The 24,582-nt window shown below is 41.2% G+C and overlaps 1 protein-coding gene across 2 annotated transcripts in view; it reads left to right on the top strand.

The window, feature by feature from the left end:
* Positions 1-24,582, top strand: part of PRKDC (protein kinase, DNA-activated, catalytic subunit) — a 187,026-nt gene that overhangs the window by 61,034 nt on the left and 101,410 nt on the right. For both annotated transcript variants that reach the window (NM_001081640.2, NM_006904.7), the window contains exons 29-40: positions 534-633; positions 1,809-1,942; positions 5,716-5,964; positions 8,623-8,846; positions 9,881-10,089; positions 10,453-10,585; positions 11,398-11,556; positions 12,956-13,159; positions 17,006-17,191; positions 17,583-17,687; positions 19,445-19,612; positions 21,252-21,379. In NM_001081640.2, the coding sequence (NP_001075109.1) occupies positions 534-633; positions 1,809-1,942; positions 5,716-5,964; positions 8,623-8,846; positions 9,881-10,089; positions 10,453-10,585; positions 11,398-11,556; positions 12,956-13,159; positions 17,006-17,191; positions 17,583-17,687; positions 19,445-19,612; positions 21,252-21,379 (1,999 nt within the window). The remainder of the gene's footprint in view (positions 1-533; positions 634-1,808; positions 1,943-5,715; positions 5,965-8,622; positions 8,847-9,880; positions 10,090-10,452; positions 10,586-11,397; positions 11,557-12,955; positions 13,160-17,005; positions 17,192-17,582; positions 17,688-19,444; positions 19,613-21,251; positions 21,380-24,582) is intronic.

The raw sequence follows: 24,582 nt of genomic DNA, 5'->3' as shown, positions 1-24,582 counted from the left end.
TTCCAGACTTCTGTGAGTGACTTCACCATCTTACCTCTGTTGTACTTCTCCAGAGGCTGTATTACCAAACGATACCGTAGTTTATCCTGCATAGGAAGGGAGGTCAAGGGATTTACACCCCTTTAAAATAGCCACATTGAAGTCCACAGGCTCTGGCCTGGTATGTGGGTTTTGTAATACCTGCAAAGTCTCTTCCATCTCAGGTCCATTAGGAGAGGCTGTGCTTTGGGTGGCCGTGGTGTTGGTGGTACAGTTTCTAGTTAGGTATGGCATTGCTCTGAGTGTGTGCATGTGTTTGTGCGTGCACGCACCATGCTATCCTGCAGTCTTAAATAGGGGTTTTGTGTTCATTTTTGAATATGCAGTGTGAATCATTTATCTAATTTTATTATTCTTAGGGATGAAAACATATTAAATCTATAGTAAAATTACCTTTTCAGTTAAAAATTAGGCCAACACATTTATAATACAAATTTAATAATAATCAGCTATATATGCCTTCTTTGGAAATATGTCTCTGTACTTGAGAACAGGTACAATTCAACAGTGTTGTGATGCCATTGATCACCTATGCCGCATCATTGAAAAGAAGCATGTTTCTTTAAATAAAGCAAAGAAACGACGTTTGCCGCGGTAGGTGATCTTGCTTCCTTTTCCGTCTTTTCCCACAACATAAAACTAATTCACAGCTAATGAAGGACAACCTGGGATGGATCTGTGGAAGTATAAGGAATTACTTCCTAAACAAGGAATGTGTGGAAGTCTGAAGAGTTCGTTTTCCAAAAACGTTAAAAAGCTTTGTGTTTGAAAATACTTGGTTTAAGGGATAAGGTATAAGGTATTTGATCTGGGTTGAGATAGTACATACAAATTGAAAATTAGTTTTGTAACAGACGTTTTATTTAATATGCACTAATTTTGAACATGTTTTGATGTGGATGATTTGACTAGAATATGCATGAACCATTATTCCGTAAATTTTGAAGTGTATGAACTGAATGTTCAAATAGTAACATTTTGACAGACATGGAATTATAAAATTAGGAAATGAAACTGCTTAGAGCCAACCAAGGCTGGGATGTTGGCCAGTGGTTTCCAGTTTTTGCCCTTATTCCATCCTAGTGGTGTTGCCTTCTCCAGTAGGGTGAGTGCCCTCCATAAGCCCCTCCAGATCTCTGCAGGGTATCTGGGGACATCTGTTATCCATGCTAGTGACCGCCACTCTGGAGAAGCACAGTCCCATGTGGACTGGATTATTAATATTTTCTCAGTTGTTTTAAAAGTTGATTCTTCCAGATTCTACTATTAACTTACGATATCAGTTTAGTTCATTGGTTCTAACTTTAGCATACATTAGAATTGCCTGGAGATCTAGTTAAAACACAGATTGCTGGGCTGGCCCCACCCTCAATTTCTGTGTACCCCTGGGGTAGGGCCAGATAATTTGGATTTATAACAAGTGCACAGGTAATGTTGGAACAGCTGTCCAGGGACCACACTTTGAGAAGCACTGCTTTACAAGGTATATTGCAAAGGAAACATGAAAATACTTAGTGCTGTTCTTTTAAGGAGAACTTTTTAATTTTTCCCCACATGAAAAAATGAACATGAGCAGCATTTAGGACCCATTTCACCTATGTTATTTTGATTGCATCTAATTATAATACATTAAAAATAAGTCGAATGCCTTTTAGTGAGATTTCTACATATATCTGTGTGATAAAGATGAGTTTATGATTTCTAGAGCCTTGGTAGCTGAATGTTGCATGTTGGAGAGGGACTAATGACAGTATGCTGTCTCTGTGCAGAGGATTTCCACCTTCCGCATCATTGTGTTTATTGGATCTGGTCAAGTGGCTTTTAGCTCATTGTGGGAGGCCCCAGACAGAATGTCGACACAAATCCATTGAACTCTTTTATAAATTCGTTCCTTTATTGCCAGGTATGGTAATCTGTATATCTTTAATTTCACCACGGTGCTTTATTATCCCATTTAAAAGAAGTAAAGAAGAATTGAGTAATTGGGTATCATTGCAGTTAACATGGTATTCAGTTAAGATTCAGAATATTAACAGTTGATGAGGTAATGCAGTTCTGTTTCAGCATGTGATTAATAAGAAATTGCCAGCATCCTAAGTCTGAATGATCTCAAATCATATTAAAGGAAAGCAGTGAACCTGTGCTTTTCAGTAATTACTAAACCATTAAACTGCTTATGGACTGAAATAATGACAAGTTTCTCAGGAATAAATGTATTGCTCAGTTTTGTCCATTAAGTCCAAACCTAGGTTTGATAGCTTGGGAGTGGGGAAGCTGTGCTCAGGACAGATCAAGCCCTGCCTTCCCCCATTGTGGGCTGTCACAGCCCTGTGCCATGTGTGGAGAGTGCCTCAGGTTAGATGGGTGTGCTGGTTCCTTGGCAAAAGTTGGGGTGGAGTTTTTTTTTTTTTTTTTTTGAGACGGAGTCTCGCTCTTTTGCCCAGGCTGGACTGCAGTGGCGCTATCTCAGCTCACTGCAAGCTCCACCTCCTGGGTTCACGCCGTTCTCTTGCCTCATCCTCCCAAGTAGCTGGGACTACAGGCACCCGCCACCGCGTCCGGCTAATTTTTTGTATTTTTAGTAGAGACGGGGTTTCACCGTGTTAGCCAGGATGGTCTCTATCTGCTGACCTCGTGATCCACCCGCCTTGGCCTCCCAAAGTGCTGGGATTACAGGCGTCAGCCACTGCACCTGGCCTGGGGTGGAGTTCTGTCTGGGCTTTTTCTTCATGGAACAAGAGGAAAAAAGTTACTTTATATATTTCCAGGCTTCTAAAACTAAAAAGGACTTTACATTTTGTCATACTATAGGATATATTATAATGTTATATACTACATATTATATACTATAGAGTATGTATAAATACATACTATAACTGAATTAGATTATTTTATATATGCTATATAAATAATGAAGTATAAATTTACTATATCATTTTACATGTATAATAGAAATGTATATCTGTGTTTTAATTTAGATAATTGTTTAAAAAACATTAGCATTTAAAAAAATTTTTTTTCCCCCGAGACAGAGTCTTGCTCTGTCGCCTGGGCTAGAGTGCAATGGCACGATCTTGGCTCACTGCAGCCTCTGCGCCCTGGGTTCAAGCAATTCTCCTGCCTCATCCTCCAGAGTAGCTGGGATTACAGGCGTGTGCTACCACGCCCGGCTAATTTTTGTGTTTTTAGTAGAGACGGGGTTTCACCATGTTGGCCAGTCTGGTCTCAAACTCCTGACCTCGTAATCTGCCAGCCTCTGCCTCCCAAAGTGCTGGGATTGCAGGTGTGAGCTACCACGCCTGGCCTAGCATTTTCAGTTTGCTTAATGTGTTTAGCTAACAACTTTTTTTTTTATATGTTAAGTCATTCTCACAGCAACCTTGTGAAATTAGTCATTGAAGAGTGGACCAGTGGCTGGGGAAGGGCTGGAGGGCAGTGGGCAGCATTTTTCCTATATTTAGTAGAAACCGAGACCCTGATAGCATGTTGGTAGAGCTGCTTATGGGCAGACCACTATCTCACATTGAGTCTGTGACTCTGGTAGCACATAGGATTTCTTGTGACCTCAGCTGTACTGATCTCAGGCATTTCTAGTGCTGTTCTCTTCTCAGTTGCCTGTGATACGGACCTCATGTATTCTGAACTAAATAGAGTTCCACCTCTCAGCATTGTGTTTTGTTGGACAAAGGCTGCTAGGTAGTAGGTGAGCCTTGCCCTTCTTCCAACAGGTAATTTGTATAACATTAAGGAGCCTTCCTTGATTTATCTCTTCTGTGGCCTTGCAGGGTGTAGCCACCTTTCTCCTTTGGTATCTTTATCCTCCAGTGGCTATTTTTGTTTTCTTTTATTTTTTTCCTTTTCAGTTTTAGAGACAAAGTCTCACTATGTTGTCCGGGCTGGACACGAACTCCTAGGCTCATGTGATCCTCTTGCCTCAACCTCCTTAGTAGCTGGGACTGCAGGTGTGCAGCACCTGTTTGTTTTTAAGAGACAGGGTCTCACTCTGTTGCCCAGGCTAGGTAGGTTGCAGTGACATGATTATAGTTCACTGCAGCCATAAACTGAGCTTAAGTGATCCTCCTGCCCCAGCCTCATGAGTAGCTGGGAACACAGGCATGTGCTACCAGGCCTGGCTCATTTTTAAGTTTTTTTGTAGAGATAGGGTCTTGGTATTAATATGTTGCCCAGGCTAGTCTTGAGTCCTGACCCCAAGCAGTCCTCCTGCCTTGGCTTCCCAAAGTGCTGGAATTACAGGTACAAGCCATTGCATCTAGCTTCCTTCAGTGGTTTTTAAGCGTCTGTGTCAGGTGTCTCTTTAGCTCACTGTGTAGCAGCAGTCCTGGGTACAGGAACACCCAGATCAGTAGGGCTTGACGACAGGTGCAGGGTTGTCCCTCTGACATGTGTCCAAGAGAGACAGCTCCTGGCGGCTTCTGAATACTGAGACTCAGCGTGGTCCAGGCCCAGAAACAGACAGCAGGTCCTCGGTGGAGACCAAGGAAGAAGTAGGGCTGGGCAGGCTCCCCAACCCCAAGCGTGCTTGTCTGCGTCTTCAGCTTCTCTGTCTTCTTGTGATGTACCCTTGTCTGCTCTCTCTCGATCTGCCTTTTTGTGTCCTTTCTTTCTATCATTTTTCTTCTGTCACTCTTGATGTAGAATTTAAATATCTTACTATTTATTTTTTGCTCATTATTATACATTTCTTTGTCTCTTAGTGAAAGTAACAGAACATTACAGAATATTCCTCCTCTTAATATACAAAATGTTCTCTCTTTCTTTCTTTTTTTTATACCGAGTCTCACTCTGTAGCTGAGGATGTAATGCAGTGGCGTGATCTTGGCTCACTGCAACCTCCCCCTCGTTTAAGCGATTCTCCTGCCTCAGCCTCCTGAGTAGCTGAGACCACAGGCGCGCACCACCACGCCTGGCTGATTTTTGTATTTTTAGTAGAGATGGGGTTTCACCATGTTGGCCAGGCTGGTCATGAACTCTTGACCTCAAGTGATCCGCCCATCTCAGCCCCCCAAAGTGCTGGGATTACAGACCTGAGCCACCACCCCCGGCTGAATGTTCTGTTTTTAATACATCAGAGATACATGTTTTGAATTCTTCATTAGAGTCAGAATGATTTGACATTTTCAGTGCTACTGATTTCAGAGCATACAAAATGCAGTTTTATGTATTTATCTTTTTAATTTAGAAGAAGTTTAATATTTAAAAGAAAATTTCCTGGAAAAAACGGCTCATTCGATTCTCTTATTTAACAAACACTGCACTTACTGTGTGGTAGACGTTATTCTAAGCACATGTTCAAATATTAACTACTTTAATTCAGCTAATTTTTGTAACAGCCCCAGAGGTAGATATTATTGTTCTCATTTGCAAATGCTGTTTTGTGACTTAAAGGAATAATAATTTTTAAATAAAAAGGCAGGGGAAAGAGTATTAGTATGCAGCTACTCCAAATGGTGTCCAACTATTTTTATAATGTTTGAGGAACCTGAAGAGAATGGCTGTGGTGGAAATACCTTCTTGGAAGTAATTACAGTGAAACAAGTTGAATGCGTAGTAAAATGAAAAAAGATTGTCCCATAACATTTTGAAATTTTAGGTACAAAGATTAGATTAAAGAAATGTAGGTATATGTGTGCATTTTAATTTTGTTTCTTTTTAAAGGCAACAGATCCCCTAATTTGTGGCTGAAAGATGTTCTCAAGGAAGAAGGTGTCTCTTTTCTCATCAACACCTTTGAGGGGGGTGGCTGTGGCCAGCCCTCGGGCATCCTGGCCCAGCCCACCCTCTTGTACCTTCGGGGGCCATTCAGCCTGCAGGCCACGCTATGCTGGCTGGACCTGCTCCTGGCCGCGTTGGAGTGCTACAACACGTTCATTGGCGAGAGAACTGTAGGAGCGCTCCAGGTCCTAGGTAGGTCACCCTTGCCTTATTCTGGTGTGTGTCGTGCTGCCAGAGTCACCCTGGGCAGTGGCTCTGCCAGGTCAGAATCCCAGCGACATGATGGTAGGTGCTGTGCACCACCTTGCCCGTGCTTTCATGTCACTTCTCTGCAAGGGTTCCATTCTTCACACTTCAAAGTTGACAAATACAGTGTTCTCATAGCTTTATATAATTGAAAAAGTTACACTTTCTGGTGTATTGTAAATGTTGACATTTTAAATACACAAAACTGTTAATATTACTTAAAAAAAACGTATTCCATGAACAATGAATACTGTAGCAGTTTTATGTACAGCATCATTGGCTTTAAAATATAGCTGCTTTATTGGAAATTTTGCAGAGTCCCTTAATTCATATTCTCATTTCCTACCCTTCAAATGATTTTATCCTAAAGTATTAAGTTTTTTTTGCTTAAGATTTTACTATATCCCTATCTACGTCTTTTTAATGAAAAGATGTACATATTTAAAGATTCCTTGGCTGGGTGCAGAGGCTCTCTCCTGTAATCCCAGCACTTTGGGAAGCCGAGGCAGGAGGACCACTTGAGCCCAGGAGGTTGAGACCAGCCTGGGCAACACGGCGAGACACTATCTGTACAAAAAATACTAAAGTTAGTCAGGCGTGGTGATGCACATCTGTGATCCCAGCTACTGGGGAGTCTGAGGTGGGAGGATCGCTTGAGCCTGGAAGGTTGAGGCTACAGTGAGCCGTGATTGTGCCACTGTACTCTAGCCTGGGCGATAGAGTGAGACCGTGTCTCAAAAAAAATTTTCTTCTGTGTTACTATTATATTTGTTATTAGTGCACATTACATTTTTTACTGCCACAACAACAAATATAATAAAAATTTTGGTAATTATTACACATAAAATGTAAAATTATGCGGTTGGAATTTTATTTTTGTACGTATAGATTTTAGTATTAAAAAAACTTGTTCATGGCCGGACGCGGTGGCTCACACCTGTAATCCCAGCAATTTGGGAGGCCGAGATGGGCACATCACCTGAGGTGAGGAGTTCGAAACCAGTCTGGCCAACATGGCGAAATCCCGTATCTACCAAAAATACAAAAATTAGTCAGGCATGGTGGCAGGTCCCTGTTAATCCCAGCTACTCGGGAGGCTGAGGCACAAGAATTGTTTGAACCCCGGAGGCGGAGGTTGCAGTGAGCTGAGATCGCACCAGAGCACTCCAGCCTGGGTGACACCGTCTCAGAAAATAAAACCAAAACAAAAAAAACTTGTTCACATAAATAAGTGCCATATTTGGTTTATTCTAAAATGTACATTTTCCCATATTTAACAGATCCATGGTTGCAGTGTGTCTTACAATCCAATATTCTATTGGATTCAAGGATATTTGGTTTTTGAGAATAATTAGTTTTTTTCTTTTTTGAAATGGAGTCTCCGTCGCCCAGGCTGGAGTGCAGTGGCGCGATCTTGGCTCACTGCAAGCTCATCCTCCCGGGATCATGCCATTCTCCTGCCTCAGCCTCCCTAGTAGCTGGGACTACAGGTGCCCGCCACCACGCCCAGCTAATTTTTTGTATTTTTAGTAGAGACGGGGTTTCACTGTGTTAGCCAGGATGGTCTCGATCTCCTGACCTCGTGATCCGCCTGCCTCGGCCTCCCAAAGTGCTGGGATTACAGGTGTGAGCCACCGCGCCCGGCTGAGAATAATTCTTAATATAAGTTATCTCAGTTCTTGGAATACATCAAAATACATGTTATCAAAATTATTTTTAACGAGGTCAGTTGACAGTTTGGATTGACTTTCCTTAAATTATGTTGGAAACAAAGAATTAGAAACCATGAGACTTACAAAAAGGCTTTCCTACTCAATTGTTGCCTTTACTCTTTCAACAGTGTACAAGTATTTTAAATTGTCCCTTGGCACTCTAAAGGGCTGTGCACCTTGGAGTAATAAACTACAGTTAGACTGGAGAGAGGTGAGGGTGGGTCTGTCTTTCATTAAGCAGGAGAGTCCTGATGAACAACCTGAGATGGGAAAGGAGAACAAGCTCCAGGGTGTTTTCAGACAAACGAGTTTTATGACAAAGCCCGTTTGAGGATTGATCTGAAAGTTGATTCCATAAGATGACTGGTGCCTGTCCACACCTGCTTGAAGACTGCTCCATAATTTGTCTCTGTCCTTTGAAGGACAGGATTTTTTATTTTTTCATTATTAATAACATTCATTATTGATAACAGTGCTAAAAAGAAGATTCTTACAACCACATCTCTTCAATTCTGCAGTCATTTCATTAGGTTAAAATTTCAGTGCTGGATCAAAGCATAATGAGTTTTTAAACATTTGATAGAAATTGGCATGCATATTTTTAAAAACTTGGTACGAATTGCCAAATTGCCCTTTAAAATGAGCATATTAATTTATCTTCTCACATGTAATGTTTGGGAATAAAGACCTGACTTTCCATCAATGTGTCCTTTGATATGAGAAAAAATAAATGCCACTTTATTCAGCTATTATTAAGCTGTTTGTTTCTTTTGAAAAATTTTGAATTTTTGCTGAACGTATACCATGCCTATACTTACAGAAGCAATTTTATGTTAATCTTAGTGGAGTTGAAAGGAAGCATATATTAATACTTTAATATAATTGCTTCTAGGTACTGAAGCCCAGTCTTCACTTTTGAAAGCAGTGGCTTTCTTCTTAGAAAGCATTGCCATGCATGACATTATAGCAGCAGAAAAGTGCTTTGGCACTGGGGCAGCAGGTAACAGAACAAGCCCACAAGAGGGAGAAAGGTACAACTACAGCAAATGCACCGTTGTGGTCCGGATTATGGAGTTTACCACGACTCTGCTAAACACCTCCCCGGAAGGATGGAAGGTAGGCTGCTCTGTTAATTTGAGGTCAGTTTTTGGTACTGGAAAACTACTTCAAAGGTTTCTGTTAGAAGGGGTTTTGGCTTTTAATAAAAATTTATCATTATTATTATTATTATTATTATTATTATATTTCATCCTCTCAACCCAGCTTTTCCTGACTTCAGGAAGAACCAGGAAGAGAAGGCTAGGTTTTGGCTTTTCTAAAACTTTGCATTGTCAGAAGTTATATGTCAAAATCAATTTGTCAATTTGTTTTAGTTGACAAAAACTGTATTTATGGTATACAGCATGATGTTTTGATATGCTCTGCCTTGTGGTATGGCTAAATCAAGCTAATTAACGTATCTGTTACCTCATATATGTAACATTTTTTCTGATGGGAACTTTTCAATCTATTTTCTTAGCAATTTGCAAAATTACAATGCATCGTTATTAACTACAGTCATCATGATGAATGATCTATTGAAAATCATGAAACTTTGCATGTCCTTCAGAGTTTCACTGTGTGAATAAAATATAAAATAGTTTTTTCTAATTGTTTTATTGGATGCTGTATTTTATGCTATGATCAAACATCTACCTTAGGAAACACACACTCGCAAATATTTATAGATGTATCCATGAGGCTTATTGTATAAACAAACTCCAGTCAGTTCATTCAGGGAATCTCTGCCAGGTGCCTGTGGCACGCCAGGCCCTGGGATGCAGCAGTGTCCTGAGTCAGGGGCGGGGAAACCCTGTCCATGGACACAACCTCACCTGCTGCCTGCTCCGTAGATAAAGCTAAATAGGAGCATGGCTGTGCGCCTCTGTCCACCTGTTGTCTGTGCTGCTTTCTTATCAGACGCGTAAGGAGTTGAAGCAGAGACTGTCTAGCCCACAAACCTCAAGTGTTTACTGTGCCCCCGTTTTACAGAGAAACTCTGCCCACCTCTCCCTTAGTCAGGCAGAAGTTCCCAACCTTGTGGGCCCTGCACTTTGGTGAAAATAGAAGTGCTGGCTGACGAAGTGTTTTTATCAAACAATCTGTTACAGCTCCTGAAGAAGGACTTGTGTAATACACACCTGATGAGAGTCCTGGTGCAGACGCTGTGTGAGCCCGCAAGCATAGGTTTCAACATCGGAGACGTCCAGGTTATGGCTCATCTTCCTGATGTTTGTGTGAATCTGATGAAAGCTCTAAAGATGTCCCCATACAAAGATATCCTAGAGACCCATCTGAGAGAGAAAATAACAGCACAGAGGTGGGTACTTGGGTCACAATCGGGGACATGTTGTCCTGGAATTTCAGGCCCTAGTATGTTGCCGTGCTCCTGCAGCTGCTCCTGCTTCCTCAGGGAAGGCTTATATCAGTGGGATGTTTGCTGCCAGTGACCTCAATAGTTGTTTAGAAAACACATTTAACTAGTGCCTTCCCTGTACCAAACTTAAGCAAACTTCAGACATGGTTAGCGCCATGTTTGATCTCCATGCTAGCTTAGTGCGTGTGGATCCTGTTAGATGTTGCCTCTGTTTGCTTCATAACAGTGCAAACATTTTTTTCAGTGTATCTTGATAATTTAACGAGATCAGAGCTCACCTAATTTACTGTTTTGTCACATGGCCAGCATTGAGGAGCTTTGTGCCGTCAACTTGTATGGCCCTGACGCGCAAGTGGACAGGAGCAGGCTGGCTGCTGTTGTGTCTGCCTGTAAACAGCTTCACAGAGCTGGGCTTCTGCATAATATATTACCGTCTCAGGTAACTATAACTTATTGTTTTTACATTTATTTTAGCTTTAGTATGATAATTAGTGTATTTATTTATATTATTTCTTAAAAGTCCTTTATGTATTGAGCATGCTGAAATGGGAATTATAGAAATACTTGCTCAAGACATGTAGATATTATGTATCTGTATATCTATGATATATCAATATAAATATGAAAGCAAATGTAAAAATTTATAAATATAAAATGAAAGTAAAATAAAGGACATTTAGGTATTTACAGAGCAGCTTTCTGAAAAACTTTAGGAACTGCTGTTGTGCCTTTGTGGCAAGACAACACAAATGAAGAATCTAGCATAGAAAGCAAGGTTGAGCCAGATACAGTGGCTCATACTTGTAATCCCAGCACTTTGGGAGGCTCAGATAGGAGGATTGCTTGAGGCCAGAAGTTTGAGACCGACCCAGGCAACATGGCAGGAATTCATCTCTACAAACAATTAAAAAACAACAACAACAAAAAAAAACATTGTCCAGGAGTGGGTGCCGCGGACCCGTAGTCCCAGCTACTCAGGAGGCTGAGGTGGGAGGATTGCTTGAGCTTGGAAGCCTGAGAATGCAGTGAGCCACGATTGTGTCACTGCACTCCAGCCTGGGCGACAGAGCAAGACCCTGTCTCACAATAGCAAGAACAACAAAAGCAAAGTTGAATTAAAATTTTTCTGAATATTGGAAGGTAGTTGTCAGTGCTATCTGAAGTGGGTTTTTTATTTAATGAGAGGAGTGAAGTTGTTTTTTTCTAAGAAATATCTTTTTGCTAGGCATTTCAGTGTTGGCTTCCTTTTAGTCCACAGATTTGCATCATTCTGTTGGCACAGAACTTCTTTCCCTGGTTTATAAAGGCATTGCCCCTGGAGATGAGAGACAGTGTCTGCCTTCTCTAGACCTCAGTTGTAAGCAGCTGGCCAGCGGACTTCTGGAGTTAGCCTTTGCTTTTGGAGGACTGGTAGGAAAAACGCCTCTGCATGCTGCACTCCCCTAATAATAGAAATACATATGTCACTTGCAGGTGTCTCTAGAAACTGTGGAATTTGGGTAGTAAGGTTTTAGCTGGACAAGTATTGTATGATTTGCATGAGCCAACTTTCTAAAAGATTATTTTCTCAATAGTTAAAAAAAAAAAGAACGGAATAGAACAACATTCTTTTTAAATAGAGGTTTTGTCTATCCCACTTTGTTTCCAAAAGGAATTAGCTAGAGAACGTTTTGTGACTATGAAGCTGAGTCATGTTGACATGTGGCCTCTTCTCCTCTCCTTGGTGGTCCTTCACATGGATGATTGGGAGGGCCTCTGAAGGATAATCCCAGAGGAACCAGAGTCTCCAAAAAAATATTCTCATGGCTCTTTGAACCATGCAGGGCTGGCCTTAAATAGTCCCTGCTGTAGCTGAAATCTGCAGCCAGCCCTCTGTGTTCACTCCATCCCAACTTTCTTTCTTCTGTAGCAGAAACCCCTTTTTCACCCCTTTGTCCGATTAATGTAAACAATTACATATTTAAATTGTCTAAAAATACTCACCCTTAATAGACTATCCTCAAAGCAACAACACTGGGGTAGGCAGATGGCTTGAGCCCAGGAGTTTGAGACCATCCTGGACAACATAGCGAGACCCTGTTTCTACAAAAAAATTTAAAAAATTAGCCAGGTATGGTGGCACATGCTTGTAGTCCCAGCTACACAAGAGGCTGAGGTGGGAAGATCGCTTGAGCCCAGGAAGTCAAGGCTGTAGTGAGTCATGATCATGCCACTGCACTCCAGCCTGGGCAACAGAGTGACACCCTGTCTTTAAAAAACAACAAGGCTGGGCAGGGTGACTTATTGCCTGTAATCCTAGCACTTTGAGAGGCCAAGGCGGGTGAATTGCTTGAGGTCAGGAGTTCGAGACCAGCCTGAACTACATGGTGAAATGCTGTCTCTACTAAAAATACAAAAATTAGCCAGGTGTGGTAGAACGCACTTGTAATTCCAGATACTCGGGGGTGCTGAGGCCGGAGAATTGCTTGAACCTAGGAGGTGGAGGTTTGCAGTGAGCCGAGATCGTGCCACTGTACTCCAGCCTGGGCAACAGAGCGAGACCCTGTCTCAAAAAATAAAACACAACAACAAGACTTTTGGACATTTGGAAGAAATATGGGTCAAGGAAGATTTCTTTCCCAAAATGAAACCTAGAAAATGGAGGCTAGTTGAAATATATACAATTTCAGCTTGAATCCAGGCTTCACATATCAGGCTCTTTTTAGACCTGTGTCATTTTCCAATTTCAAAGTTATCAGTTGCCCAAGGGTCTTTCTGTGCCATGCAAAGATGTGCCCCAGTTATGGTACTTCTCCTTTCTTTTTCCCAGTGTGAGCGCCTTGTGAGTCTTCTCCTGAACCCAGCGGTGCTGTCCACGGCGTCCTTGGGCAGCTCACAGGGCAGCGTCATCCACTTCTCCCATGGGGAGTATTTCTATAGCTTGTTCTCAGAAACGATCAACACGGAATTATTGAAAAATCTGGATCTTGCTGTATTGGAGCTCATGCAGTCTTCAGTGGATAATACCAAAATGGTAACAAAGTTTCCCTTTAAATAAACTGTTTTTTTTGTTTGTTTGTTTGTTTGAGACAGAGTCTTGCACTTTCGCCCAGGCTGGAGTGCAGTGGCACGATCTCTGCTGACTGCAACCTCTGCATCCCAGATTGAAGCGATTCTCCTGCCTCAGCCTCCCGAGTAGCTGGGATTACAGGCACCCGCCACCACACCTAGCTAATTTTTTGTATTTTTAGTAGAGACGGAGTTTCACTATGTTGGCCAGGCTGGTCTTGAACTCCTGACCTCGTGATCCGCCCAGTTTGGCCTCCCGAAGTGCTGGGATTACAGGCGTGAGCCACTGCACCCGGTCAATATTTTCTTATATAATCCTTATAAAAGGGTTGCCATATTCCTGAAATATTTCATTAAAGTATGACAAGACTTTTTCCTATAAGGTTGAAAGCTCTTGCTTTTAACAAACTCAGAAAAACCCAAAACATACCCCTTATCAATAGTTAATGAATATTAGGCCAGGCATGGTGGCTCATGCCTGTAATCCCAGCACTTTGGGAGGTGGAGGTGAGCGGATCATCAGAGGTCAGGAATTCAAGCCCAGCCTGGCGAACATGGCAAAACCTTGTTTCTACTAAAAATACAAAAAATTAGCCAGGCATGGTGGTGTGTGCCTGTAATCCCAGCTACTCAGGAGGCTGAGGCAGGAGAATTTCTTGAACCTGAGAGGCGGAGGTTGCAGTGAGCTGAGATCATGCCCACTGCACTCCAGCCTGAGTAATGAAGCGAGACTCTGTCTTAAAAAAGTAAGAAATAGCTAATGAGTGTTATTGGATGTTAAAACATTGATTGTTTTTTCTATTCCCTTATGCTTTGCAAATTTCTAAGCCTAAATATTATAAGGCACAGCTATGCAGGGTATTGACATTTGCCAAGATGTGGCTTTGGAGCTTACAAACCCGTCCTGGGGCCCAGAGCTGGCTTTGCATTCATACCAGCTGCAGGCAGGTCTCTGCACCCCGGTAGACCTCTCTGTTCTCAGAGTTCTCTTGTGGCCTCGATGCTGAGTTATCATTTCTGGCATGTTCCTGCTGTGTCCCCCTTTCTCCCTGGAGATCAGTATTTAATATATAGTTGACTTTCGTTTGCTAAACCTCTGGGATTTTGAAATTTAACTTGTTCTGTGGACAGAAACTGTTAACTGTTGATATGACCATTTTAAGGGAGAGTACATGATGTCCTAAGTTGAGCTTTTATTGCAAACAGTGCTTTTCTGTTGTAGGGGAATCTTTTGTGGTAGATTGCAGTAGGAATTTGTATTCTTTAAAATTAGAAATAAAATCGTAGTAGATGACACTCAGATTTAACATTCTGATTTCTTAAACTATGACCTCTGATGGAAATGATAGAAAAAACATACGCCTTTGACCTCTATTCCTTCCCTAAATTCCTCTAAAGTAACAGAATGAGATTTTTAAAACACCTCTACAATCTCAAAGGACACAGAGAAAAGGACTTCCAAGAGTGACAAGAGTTGTAAATCAAAAGGACAGGTGTGGCAGACTGCATGCAGAGTTTGAGATAGCAGCGAGGTGATGCAGCCTTCGGAAGTTGGGGTCCACACGTGCTGAGCCCCAGCAGGGCAGACATGCGAGCAGGGGTGAGCAGAGGCTGAGAAGAGAGGATTGGGCAAAGGCCAGCTCTCCCCTGCAGGGCAGCCTCCTGTCTCTGCTGCTGGGGGTCTGATCCTCCCCACTTGAGGAGAAGGCAGGAGGCAGTGACTCCCTGGAGAGGATAGAGACCTCCAGACTGGGGGCTCTGGCATGGCTGAATATGTGGATACCATCAGGAAAAGAGGAAAGTTAAGTACTAACCTACCTAAATTCTAGACTTTCAGGCTGTCTGCCCTTTCCCTCTGAATACTTTCAGTTCAGCATCTGCCCTTGGCAGGGCACCAGAATATCCTGACAAGCCCTAAGAGAAAATAAAGATGCAGGCATCATAGCCAGCTGGGTCAGTGACAGTGATCCTCCCCACCAGCGAGCCCTGCACGCTGCACAGCGCTTCCAGGCAGGTGATACCTGTGAGCCGGCAGCCCAGGGGCTCAGGCACCTGAGGAAAGGGACGCCAGAGGGCGTAGCGGGACACAGGCAACTGTGGCAAGGCCTGTTCAGTGAGATGGAAATGTAAGCTGGAGAAAAAAAACTGAAAGATGAGAGACAAAACTGTGAAATAAGAATTGCTATGGAGAATGAACATCAGAGAACAAAAAAGGCTCTTGGGAATTAAGCATAGGCATCAGAAATTAAAAATGAAATGAGTTTGGAAGGTAAACTTGAGTAACTCTCACAGAGAGTAGAGTGAAAGACAAAACAGAAAACACGAGAGAAAAGAGGAGGAGACTAGGGATTCATGCATGAGGTTGAGCAGCAGGGCCTTGGCTCCGGAGGGCAGGGGTCAGGAGTGGCATTTGCTGAGGACACAGCTCCAGAGGAGCCCAGAAGCAAAGGCTTTGAGTTTCCAGGTAGAAGAGGGCCATGGAGTGTCCAGCATGGTGCACAGAAACAGCTCCACGTGGAGCACATTTCTTGAGAATTCAGAACCGTGGGGTTTCACTACAATAAAAGATTCTCAGGTTTCCACTGGAGAAAAAGCAGTTATGTGTGAAAGGATCTAGAAATTGAATGACATATGTCTTCTCAGCGGCAGTGTGGACATTGCAAGACTTGAACCAGATTTCTTCCATAGTTCATAAGAGAAATCTTCAGCCTAGAGTTCTGAATCCAGCTGGATTATCCATTATGTGAGAGTGGAATACAGATGTTTTAGACATGCCAGATCCCCAAGAGGTCCCTGTGCACTCTCATCACGATGCTGCTGGGTAGAGAGTGATCAGGCAGTGAGCCAAGACAGGGGAAGGTGCTGGATACAGTATGTCGGCCCCGCACAGAGGCGTGGATGGCCCAGCACCAGGTCCAGCACCAGCATTGCAGATCAAGAGCTGAGTTGCCACAGAAATGGGGCAGATAGACCTGATAGGCTTAGAGGGCTTGCAGCAATTTCATAACTTGGGAGAGTTTGATGACGAATTAATGACAGACACATTGAAAAGAGCAATGAAAGCAAACAAGGTTAGCTTCAGAGAGTACAAAATGTGCAAAAAGGGAAAAGCATTGTTTCTACTTGGAACATCTGTGAAAAATGTTTGCATAGTCAGAATGACAGGAATAGTGCATGTTAATCTGACCAAAATTAGCCTGTCACTCTGTTGCAGGAGTGGTGGTGAGACAGAAAATGTGGGTGTGCATGTATGATGGTAGTTGAACAAGAAGTGTGCGTTTGCGTGTGTGCATGTTTGCTTGTGTGTGTACACCTGTGTGTGCTAGTGTGTGCCTGTATGGTGGTGGTGGGACCGGAAGTATGTGCTTGGGTGCATGTTTGCTTATGTGTGTACATCTGTGTGCTTGTGCATGCATGTACAGTGGTGGTGGGATAGGAAGTGTGCATTTGTGCATATGTGCATATTTGTGTGCTTGTGCGTGTACACCTGTGTGTGCTTGTGCATGCATGTACAGTGGTGGTGGTGGTGACAGAAGAGAGCTGACTCCTTTTTCCTAGACTGCGCAGACTAGGAAAGCCAGGAGAAGCTGGATGAGCCTGATGACATAGCTAAGGCCACCCTGTACTTTGTGGAAAAACTATGGTTAAAGTGTACCTCAAATCAAACTCGAGGAGTTTTGAAGTAGATAAACATCTATTATAGAAATAGCTTATTTATTTTCCAAGAATAGCTTTGAAATAAAGGTAAATTTTGTTTTCTGTCATTCTCAAAATTAAGAATTTTTCTTCACTCACAACGAAATTGTCTCAGGTGAGTGCCGTTTTGAACGGCATGTTAGACCAGAGCTTCAGGGAGCGAGCAAACCAGAAACACCAAGGACTGAAACTTGCGACTACAATTCTGCAACACTGGAAGAAGTGTGATTCATGGTGGGCCAAAGATTCCCCTCTCGAAACTAAAATGGCAGTGCTGGCCTTACTGGCAAAAATTTTACAGGTATTCAATTCCTTTAAAAAGCAGTCATGTTTATTCTTCTGAACTCTGTAACTTGTGTCTTTAAAATTTGATGGAGGTTGCTCCAAAAGCTCATTGGTTTGACAAATAAGAAAATATTTTGACAGGATGGTTGCTTATATTTACCTTTTTAAACTTTTTCCATTATTTATTAGACTTACTATTTCTTATGCTATATCTTTTTAAAGTACCTTTGCATGTATTGTCCTAACAGATAGTATTACAATGTTTTACAATAAGATTGTGAAAATATTATTGAAGCCCAAAATTAAATTAACAATTCATTTCTGGAATTTAAACATTTGAGCAATGGGCTAAAGGAAATAGAGATGTAATATACAAATGTGTCCTGTTTTTCTTTTCCTTCCTTTAGATTGATTCATCTGTATCTTTTAATACAAGTCATGGTTCATTCCCTGAAGTCTTTACAACATATATTAGTCTACTTGCTGACACAAAGCTGGATCTACATTTAAAGGTAAACAGTGAAATATTTATTTTTTTGGATTACATTCTCTTCTGTTTTCGTATTTTTTATTTGTGATGTTTTTTATTTTTTATTATGGAAAATTTCAAACGTGTTCAAATGTAGGGAGACTAGCACAGTAATCCCCCGTACTTATTAGCCAGTCTCGATAACCATCCTGTGTGGGTGTGTTTGTTTCACCTGTGCGGTCAACCCACCCGTCAGCAGGCAAGGAAGGCCAAGCAGGCCGGGTGTGTTATCTGACCTGTATCTGCTTCAGTTCAGTGTGCCTCTCCAAGACATGAGAACATTTCTTTCTTTCTTGCTTGCTTGCTTGCTTTCTTGCTTTCTTGCTTTCTTGCTTTCTTTTTTTTTTTTTTTTTTAGACAGTCTCGCTCTGTCACCCAGGCTGAAGTACAGTGGCACAATCATGGCTCACTGCAACCTCCGCCTCTTGGGTTCAAGTGATTCTTGTGCCTCAGCCTCCCAAGTAGCTGGGATCACAGGTGTGCGCCACCAGGCCTGGCTAATGTTTTTATTTTTAGTATATTTCACCATAGTGGCCAGGCTGGTCTCAAACTCCTGACTTCAAGTGATCTGCCTGCCTCGGCCTCCCAAAGTGCTGGGGTTACAGGTGTGAGCCACCACACCCGGCCTAGAACATTTCTTTTAAAGTATAAGATTATCATATTTGGATGAATTAACATTTGTGTTTGCATACATATTATTTAAATTGGCTTTTTGTGCTATAATGACTTTATTACTCAGTCATTTTTCTATTAAAATAATATAAAAATTTTTGGTGATTTTTAGGGTCAAGAATTAATAAATACTGTCATTTTAAGGGTTACTAATTTTAAAGTCCTAGAACAATTAGATTTTAAACCCTACTGAAAAGTGGCCTTAATTCAAGGGACCTTTTTACTGGATAAAGGGGATAATTCTTTGGAATTTTCTGCTGTGTGATTAATCAAGTTTCCCATTTCTCCATAGACAGTCTTGGAATTTTCTGCCATGCGAGGGAGAACAGGAGTCAACTCCTAGTTCTTGTTAAGCTCAGTATGAAGTTCTTCTGTAGTTCTGCAATGTGTAGTTGTAAACTCCTCCTTAGGTTATTCAAAATGTTCTTTCTACACAAAGCTTGTACAGTACATTTTTACTAGGTTCATTATTTGTAGAAGAGGAAGCACATACCGAATCAGCACCATGTCCCATTTATTTATGTGTCCATAGCTGGCGTCAACCAACTAGCCTGGGTAAGAGTCAAAGCTGAGGTATAGGCTGGGTGCGGTGGCTCACGCCTGTAATCGCAACATTTTGGGAGGCCAAGGCAGGTGAATCTCCTGAGGGCAGGAGTTTGAGACCAGCCTGGCCAACATGGCAAAACCCCGTCTCTATGAAAAATATGAAAAGAATTAGCCAGGCATAGTGGCAGGCGCCTGTAATCCCAGCTACTCTGGAGGCTGAGGCAGGGAGAATCACTTGAACCCGGGAGGCGGAGGTTGCAGTGAGCCTACTAAGATCATGCCACTGCTCTCCAGCCTGGGTGACAGAGTGAGACTCTGTCTCAAAAAAAAAAAAAAAAAAAAAAAAGCTGAGGTATAGAATTGTATTCATGTTGGTTTTTAATATAATTTAGAAATTATGGTGAAGCCATTCATTGATTCCACATAATGCTTTATTTGCAATGTCTTACAGTAATTTTATTTATTCTGTAGGATATATAAGCCATAATTCGTGCAGTTTCTTATGTCTGTCTTGCTCCACAGGGCCAAGCTGTCACTCTTCTTCCATTCTTCACCAGCCTCACTGGAGGCAGTCTGGAGGAACTTAGACGTGTTCTGGAGCAGCTCATCGTTGCTCACTTCCCCATGCAGTCCAGGGAATTTCCTCCAGGAACTCCGCGGTTCAATAATTATGTGGACTGCATGAAAAAGGTTAGTTTCTAGTAGTATCAAGTAAAATTAAAACACTGTTTTTTTTTTCTTGTTACATATCTTGATGAAAAGAGGTGAGTAAAATATCCACAATCAGAGAAGTTGTAAACCACCCAATAGGTTATTCAAAATGTTCTTTCTACACAAAGCTTGTACAGTACATTTTTACTAGGGTCATTATTTGTAGAAGAGGAAGCACATACTGAATCAGCACCATGTCCCATTTATTTATGTGTGTGTGGCCTGAGAATTCATTTAATTCACTTGGAAAGCAGTGACAGGAGTATATGTGAATCCACTGGAATTTGTTTTTTTCTCCCATTTTTAATTGTGAAATATTTTATGTGTAAAATGGAATGTGTAAAATATATGTAAGTTATGAAGAGTAATACCAAAAGAAGCTAAGAAATAGAATATTACCAATAATTTCCAGTTTCTAAAATTTAATAGAGTAGCGATTATTTGAGAAGCATTTCGTGATTATCCCTAATATGATAGGTTGAGCATCCCTTATCTGAAATGCTTGGAACCAGAAGTGTTTCGGATTTTGGAATGTTTGTGTATACATGAGATATCCCGGGGATAGGACTCAAGTCTGGACATAGACATGAAATACATTGGTGTTTTTTGTTTTGTTTTGTTTTCTTTTGTTTTGAGACAGAGTCTTGCTCTGTCGTCTAGGCTGAAGTGCAGTGGAAACTGCACACAACAGTTTCAGAGATGAAAGAAGGTATTATGTCCATGAGATAGGATAAGGATCCTTGGAAATTAAATATGCAGAAGCAAAATTTAAATAAAACATACTTGTTCTATTCTGAAGATAAAATTAAGGGTATCTCCTAGAAAGCAGAACAGAAACTGAGATGGAGAAGGGGAGAGTCAAGATGAGAACATCGGGGGAGCGGCCTGGGATATCCCCTCTGTAGCGAGGACGGTGTGGAAAAGATGCACATTACCAGAATCAGAGTAAGGGCGAGAGTCCCTGGCATGGTGAAGGAGGGGGGCCTGTTGAAGGCACGTCTCCATGTACTCTCAGAACCTGAGATGCAGAGAAGAGTAGCATCTGCAAAACCTAAAAAGAATAGGGGCTAGGTACAGTGGCTCACGCCTGTAATCCCAGCACTTTGGGTGGCCGAGGAGGGCAGATCACCAGGTCAGGAGATCGAGACCATCCTGGCTAACACGGTGAAACCCCGTCTCTACTAAAAATACAAACAATTAGCCAGGCGTGGTGGCGGGCGCCTGTAGTCCCAGCTACTCGGAAGGCTGAGGCAGGATAATGGCGTGAAACCTGGGAGGCGGAGTTTGCAGTGAGCCGAGATCGTGTCACTGCACTCCAGCCTGGGCAACAGAGCAAGACTGTGTCTCCAAAAAAAAAAAAAAAAAACCTAAAAAAAAACCTAGAAAGAATCTAGGCTCAGTATATAGTGAACATTGATATATACCAGCCACTCAACAATATTTGTAAAAATGACAGAAATACTGGTATTTGTTAAGTCTGTGAAATTCTGGTGTATTTTTCTGTATGTTATATTTTTTATTATATAAGAAACTTTTTATATTTTTAGTATATAATTTAACTATTGAAGCAAAAGTAAAACCCAACAAAATTTTAATGATGTTGATGTATTTTTTCTAGTTTCTAGATGCATTGGAATTATCTCAAAGCCCTATGTTGTTGGAATTGATGACAGAAGTTCTTTGTCGGGAACAGCAGCATGTCATGGAAGAATTATTTCAATCCAGTTTCAGGAGGATTGCCAGAAGGTAAGTCATTCTGGCCTGGGATCTCAGGAACCATACGCATTTCAGTTTTGTGGGAAATTATCCTCTCTGTTCCAAAAAAAAAGCTGAGTGGCAATTATATTCTTGCTACTAAACTTTATTTTAGTTTTTTGTCTTTAAAACAAAACTTTTATTATTATAATTTTCAAACATACACAAAGCTAGAGGAAGAGTATAAATAAGGCCCCAGATTGAACAAAGTTCAGCATTTTCCAAGCTTCATCTTGGCCTTTTATCATTTTTCTTTTTTGCTACTGCTATTGTAATTTAAAGCAAATCTGTGACACCATGTCGTTTCACCTCTTAAATCCTTCTGTATATGTCTCTTAAAGCAGTTTTCTTGAATAGCCATAGTACCATTATCAACTGAACGAAATTATCAGTAATTCCATAGTCAGATTTCCTCAGTAGTCTCAAACAAGATGACAGTGTTGGCTTATTTGAAATTTGGTCCAAACAAGGTTCATACATGGCATTTCACTGTTATGTCTCTTCAGTCTGCATTTAAAACAGTCTCCTCTATTATTTATTTTGTTTTTGGAGATACTTGGACACTTGTCCTGTATAATGTCTTATATTCTGGATTTATCTGATTCTTTTGCTTTCATTGAACTTCTTCCTCTAGCCCTTGGATTTTCTGTAAATGGAAAGTTATGTCTAAAAGCACAGTTAGATTCAGGTTGAAATTTTGGCAAGACTAATAGTTGATACTTTATACTTCTTATTCACGGCATTAGGAGGTGCATAATGTCTGGTGATCCTGCTTTTAGTGATGCTAGGATTGACTAGCCATGTGCATGATTGTATTTTCCTCATGGTTTAGCTCTATTTATGATGATTGCCCTGAATCACTTATTTCATTAAGAGTTGCAAATGGCCATTTTTCTGATTCTTTTATTCCTTCTAAATTTAGTGCCTGGAATTACAGTGTAATGAAGGTCTCATCACTCGGATTGTTTGGTTACCAAAAATGCAATTTAGTATTTTAGCAAAAATACAGTGGGAAGGATAGGACATATCTGATTGTTGATTTTTTTTTTTTTTTGAGACAGAGTCTGGCTCTGTAACCCAGGCTGGAGTGCGGTGGCATGATCTTGGCTCATTGCAGCCTCTGTCTTCTGGGTTCAAATGATTCTCCTGCGTCAGCCTCCCGAGTAGCTGGGATTACAGGCACACGCCAACACACTGGCTAATTTTTGTATTTTTAGTAGAGACGGGGTCTCACCATGTTGGCCAGGCTGGTTCCGAACTCCTGACCTCAAATGATCTGCTTGCCTCGGCCTCCCTAAGTGCTGGGATTACAGATGTGAGCCATCCCGCCTGGCCCCGATTATTGATTTTTGAAGTAAGGGTTTGATGCCATGGCTACTCCTCATAGTAAACTTCCAATGAATTTTTAAAATTGGCATTTATCTATATTGAATTTGTAAATATCCATGTAAATTTGTCTTGAGTTGTATTTTACAGATCATAAACTTCACCCACTGTAAGTATATAGTTCCATGATTTTTAGGTAGTTTATTGAGTATGCAACCAGCACCATATAACATTTTTATTCCCCAGTAAGACCCCACAGGACCATTTACAGTTGACTGCCATTGCTGATCCTAGCTCCACGCAAACACTAATCTACTTTCTGTCTTTATAAATCTGCCTTCTCTGGACATTTTATATAAGTGGAATCATACAATATGTGATCTCTTATTCCTGGCTTCTTTGTTCAGCGTAATATTTTTGATGTTCATCCATGACATAGTTCATTCCTTTCTACTGATATTTTTAAAAATATCATAATTAACCAACTATAAAACAGAATTCTGCACGGCAGCAGAACACATTCTTTTGGAGCATACCTGCAGCATTCTTTAGGACAGACTATATACTAGACCATAAAAACAAGTCTTGATAAATTTTAAAAGATTGAAATCATACAAAGCATGTTCTCTGTCCAAAGTGAAGTTAAATTAGAATTCAACAACACAAGGAAATTTTGGGAATCTGAAAATGTTTGTAAATAATATATTTCTAAATAGCCCTTGGGTGAAATAAGAAATTACAAAGGAAGTCAGATAGCATTTTGATCTGAATAAAATAAGAATAAAGCTTATCCAAATGTGATGCAACTAAATAGGTGTTCAGAGGGAAATTTGTATCTTTTAATTCCTGTGTTTGAAAATAGGAAAGATTTAAATTAGTAATCTGAACTTTTTACCTTAAAATCTAGAAAAAGAAAAAAACTAAACCAAGGTAATACAAAGGAAGGGAATAGGAAACAGAAAAATGGTGGAGAAAAATCAGTATTTGTTTTCACAATCAAAGCTAAAGGAGTTGACAAACCATTAGCTAGGCTAGCCAAAAATAAAGGAAGAACCACAGTTTGTCAAAACTAAGAATGAAAAGAGGTGGATATTACCACTGACCTCTCAGAAACTGTAAGAAGATTATAAGCGAATATTACGAAAAATATTAGGCCAGCAAATTCAGCAACTTAAGCAAAATGGGCAAATTCATAGAAAGTCGTAAATTACCAAAACTGACTCAAGAAGAAATAAAATGTGTGAATACACCCCCAACAAGTAATCAAATTGAATTAATAATTAAAAATCTTTCTGTGAAGGAAATCCCAGACCTACATAGCTTTTTTGTTTTTTTGGATGCAAGGTCACACTCTGTTATCCAGGCTGGAGTGCAGTGGTCAAGGCTCACTGCAGCCTTGACCTCCTCCTGGGTTCAGGCAATCCTCCCACTTCAGCCTCGTGAGTAGCTGGGACTACAGGCATGTACCACCACACCAGCTAGTTTTGTATTTTTTATATACACACAGGGTTTTGCCATATTGCCCAGGCTGGTCTTGAACTCCTGGGCTCAAGCGATCTGCCTGCCTCGGCCTTCCAAAGTGCTGGGATTACAGTCACGAGCCACTGTGCCTGGCCTCCAGATAGCTACTAGTGAATTTTGTCAAAAGAGTCTCACTTTGTCTCCCATGCTGTAGTGCAGTGGCTCACAGCAGTCTCTGCCTCCTGAGTTCAAGTGATTCTTGTGCCTCAGCCTGCTGAGTAGCTGAGACTACAGGCACACACCACCACACTTGGGTAATTCTTTGTATTTTTAGTAGACACAGGGTTTCGCCGTGTTGCCCAGGCTGGTCTCAAAGTCCTGAGCTCAGGCAATCCTCCCGCCTCAGC

This window comes from Homo sapiens, chromosome 8, assembly GCF_000001405.40.
Source record: "Homo sapiens chromosome 8, GRCh38.p14 Primary Assembly".
Classification (NCBI taxonomy): Eukaryota; Metazoa; Chordata; class Mammalia; order Primates; family Hominidae; genus Homo; species Homo sapiens.
The sequence above is the reverse complement of the archived record's forward strand: the minus strand, read 5'-3'. Positions and strand labels throughout refer to the sequence as shown.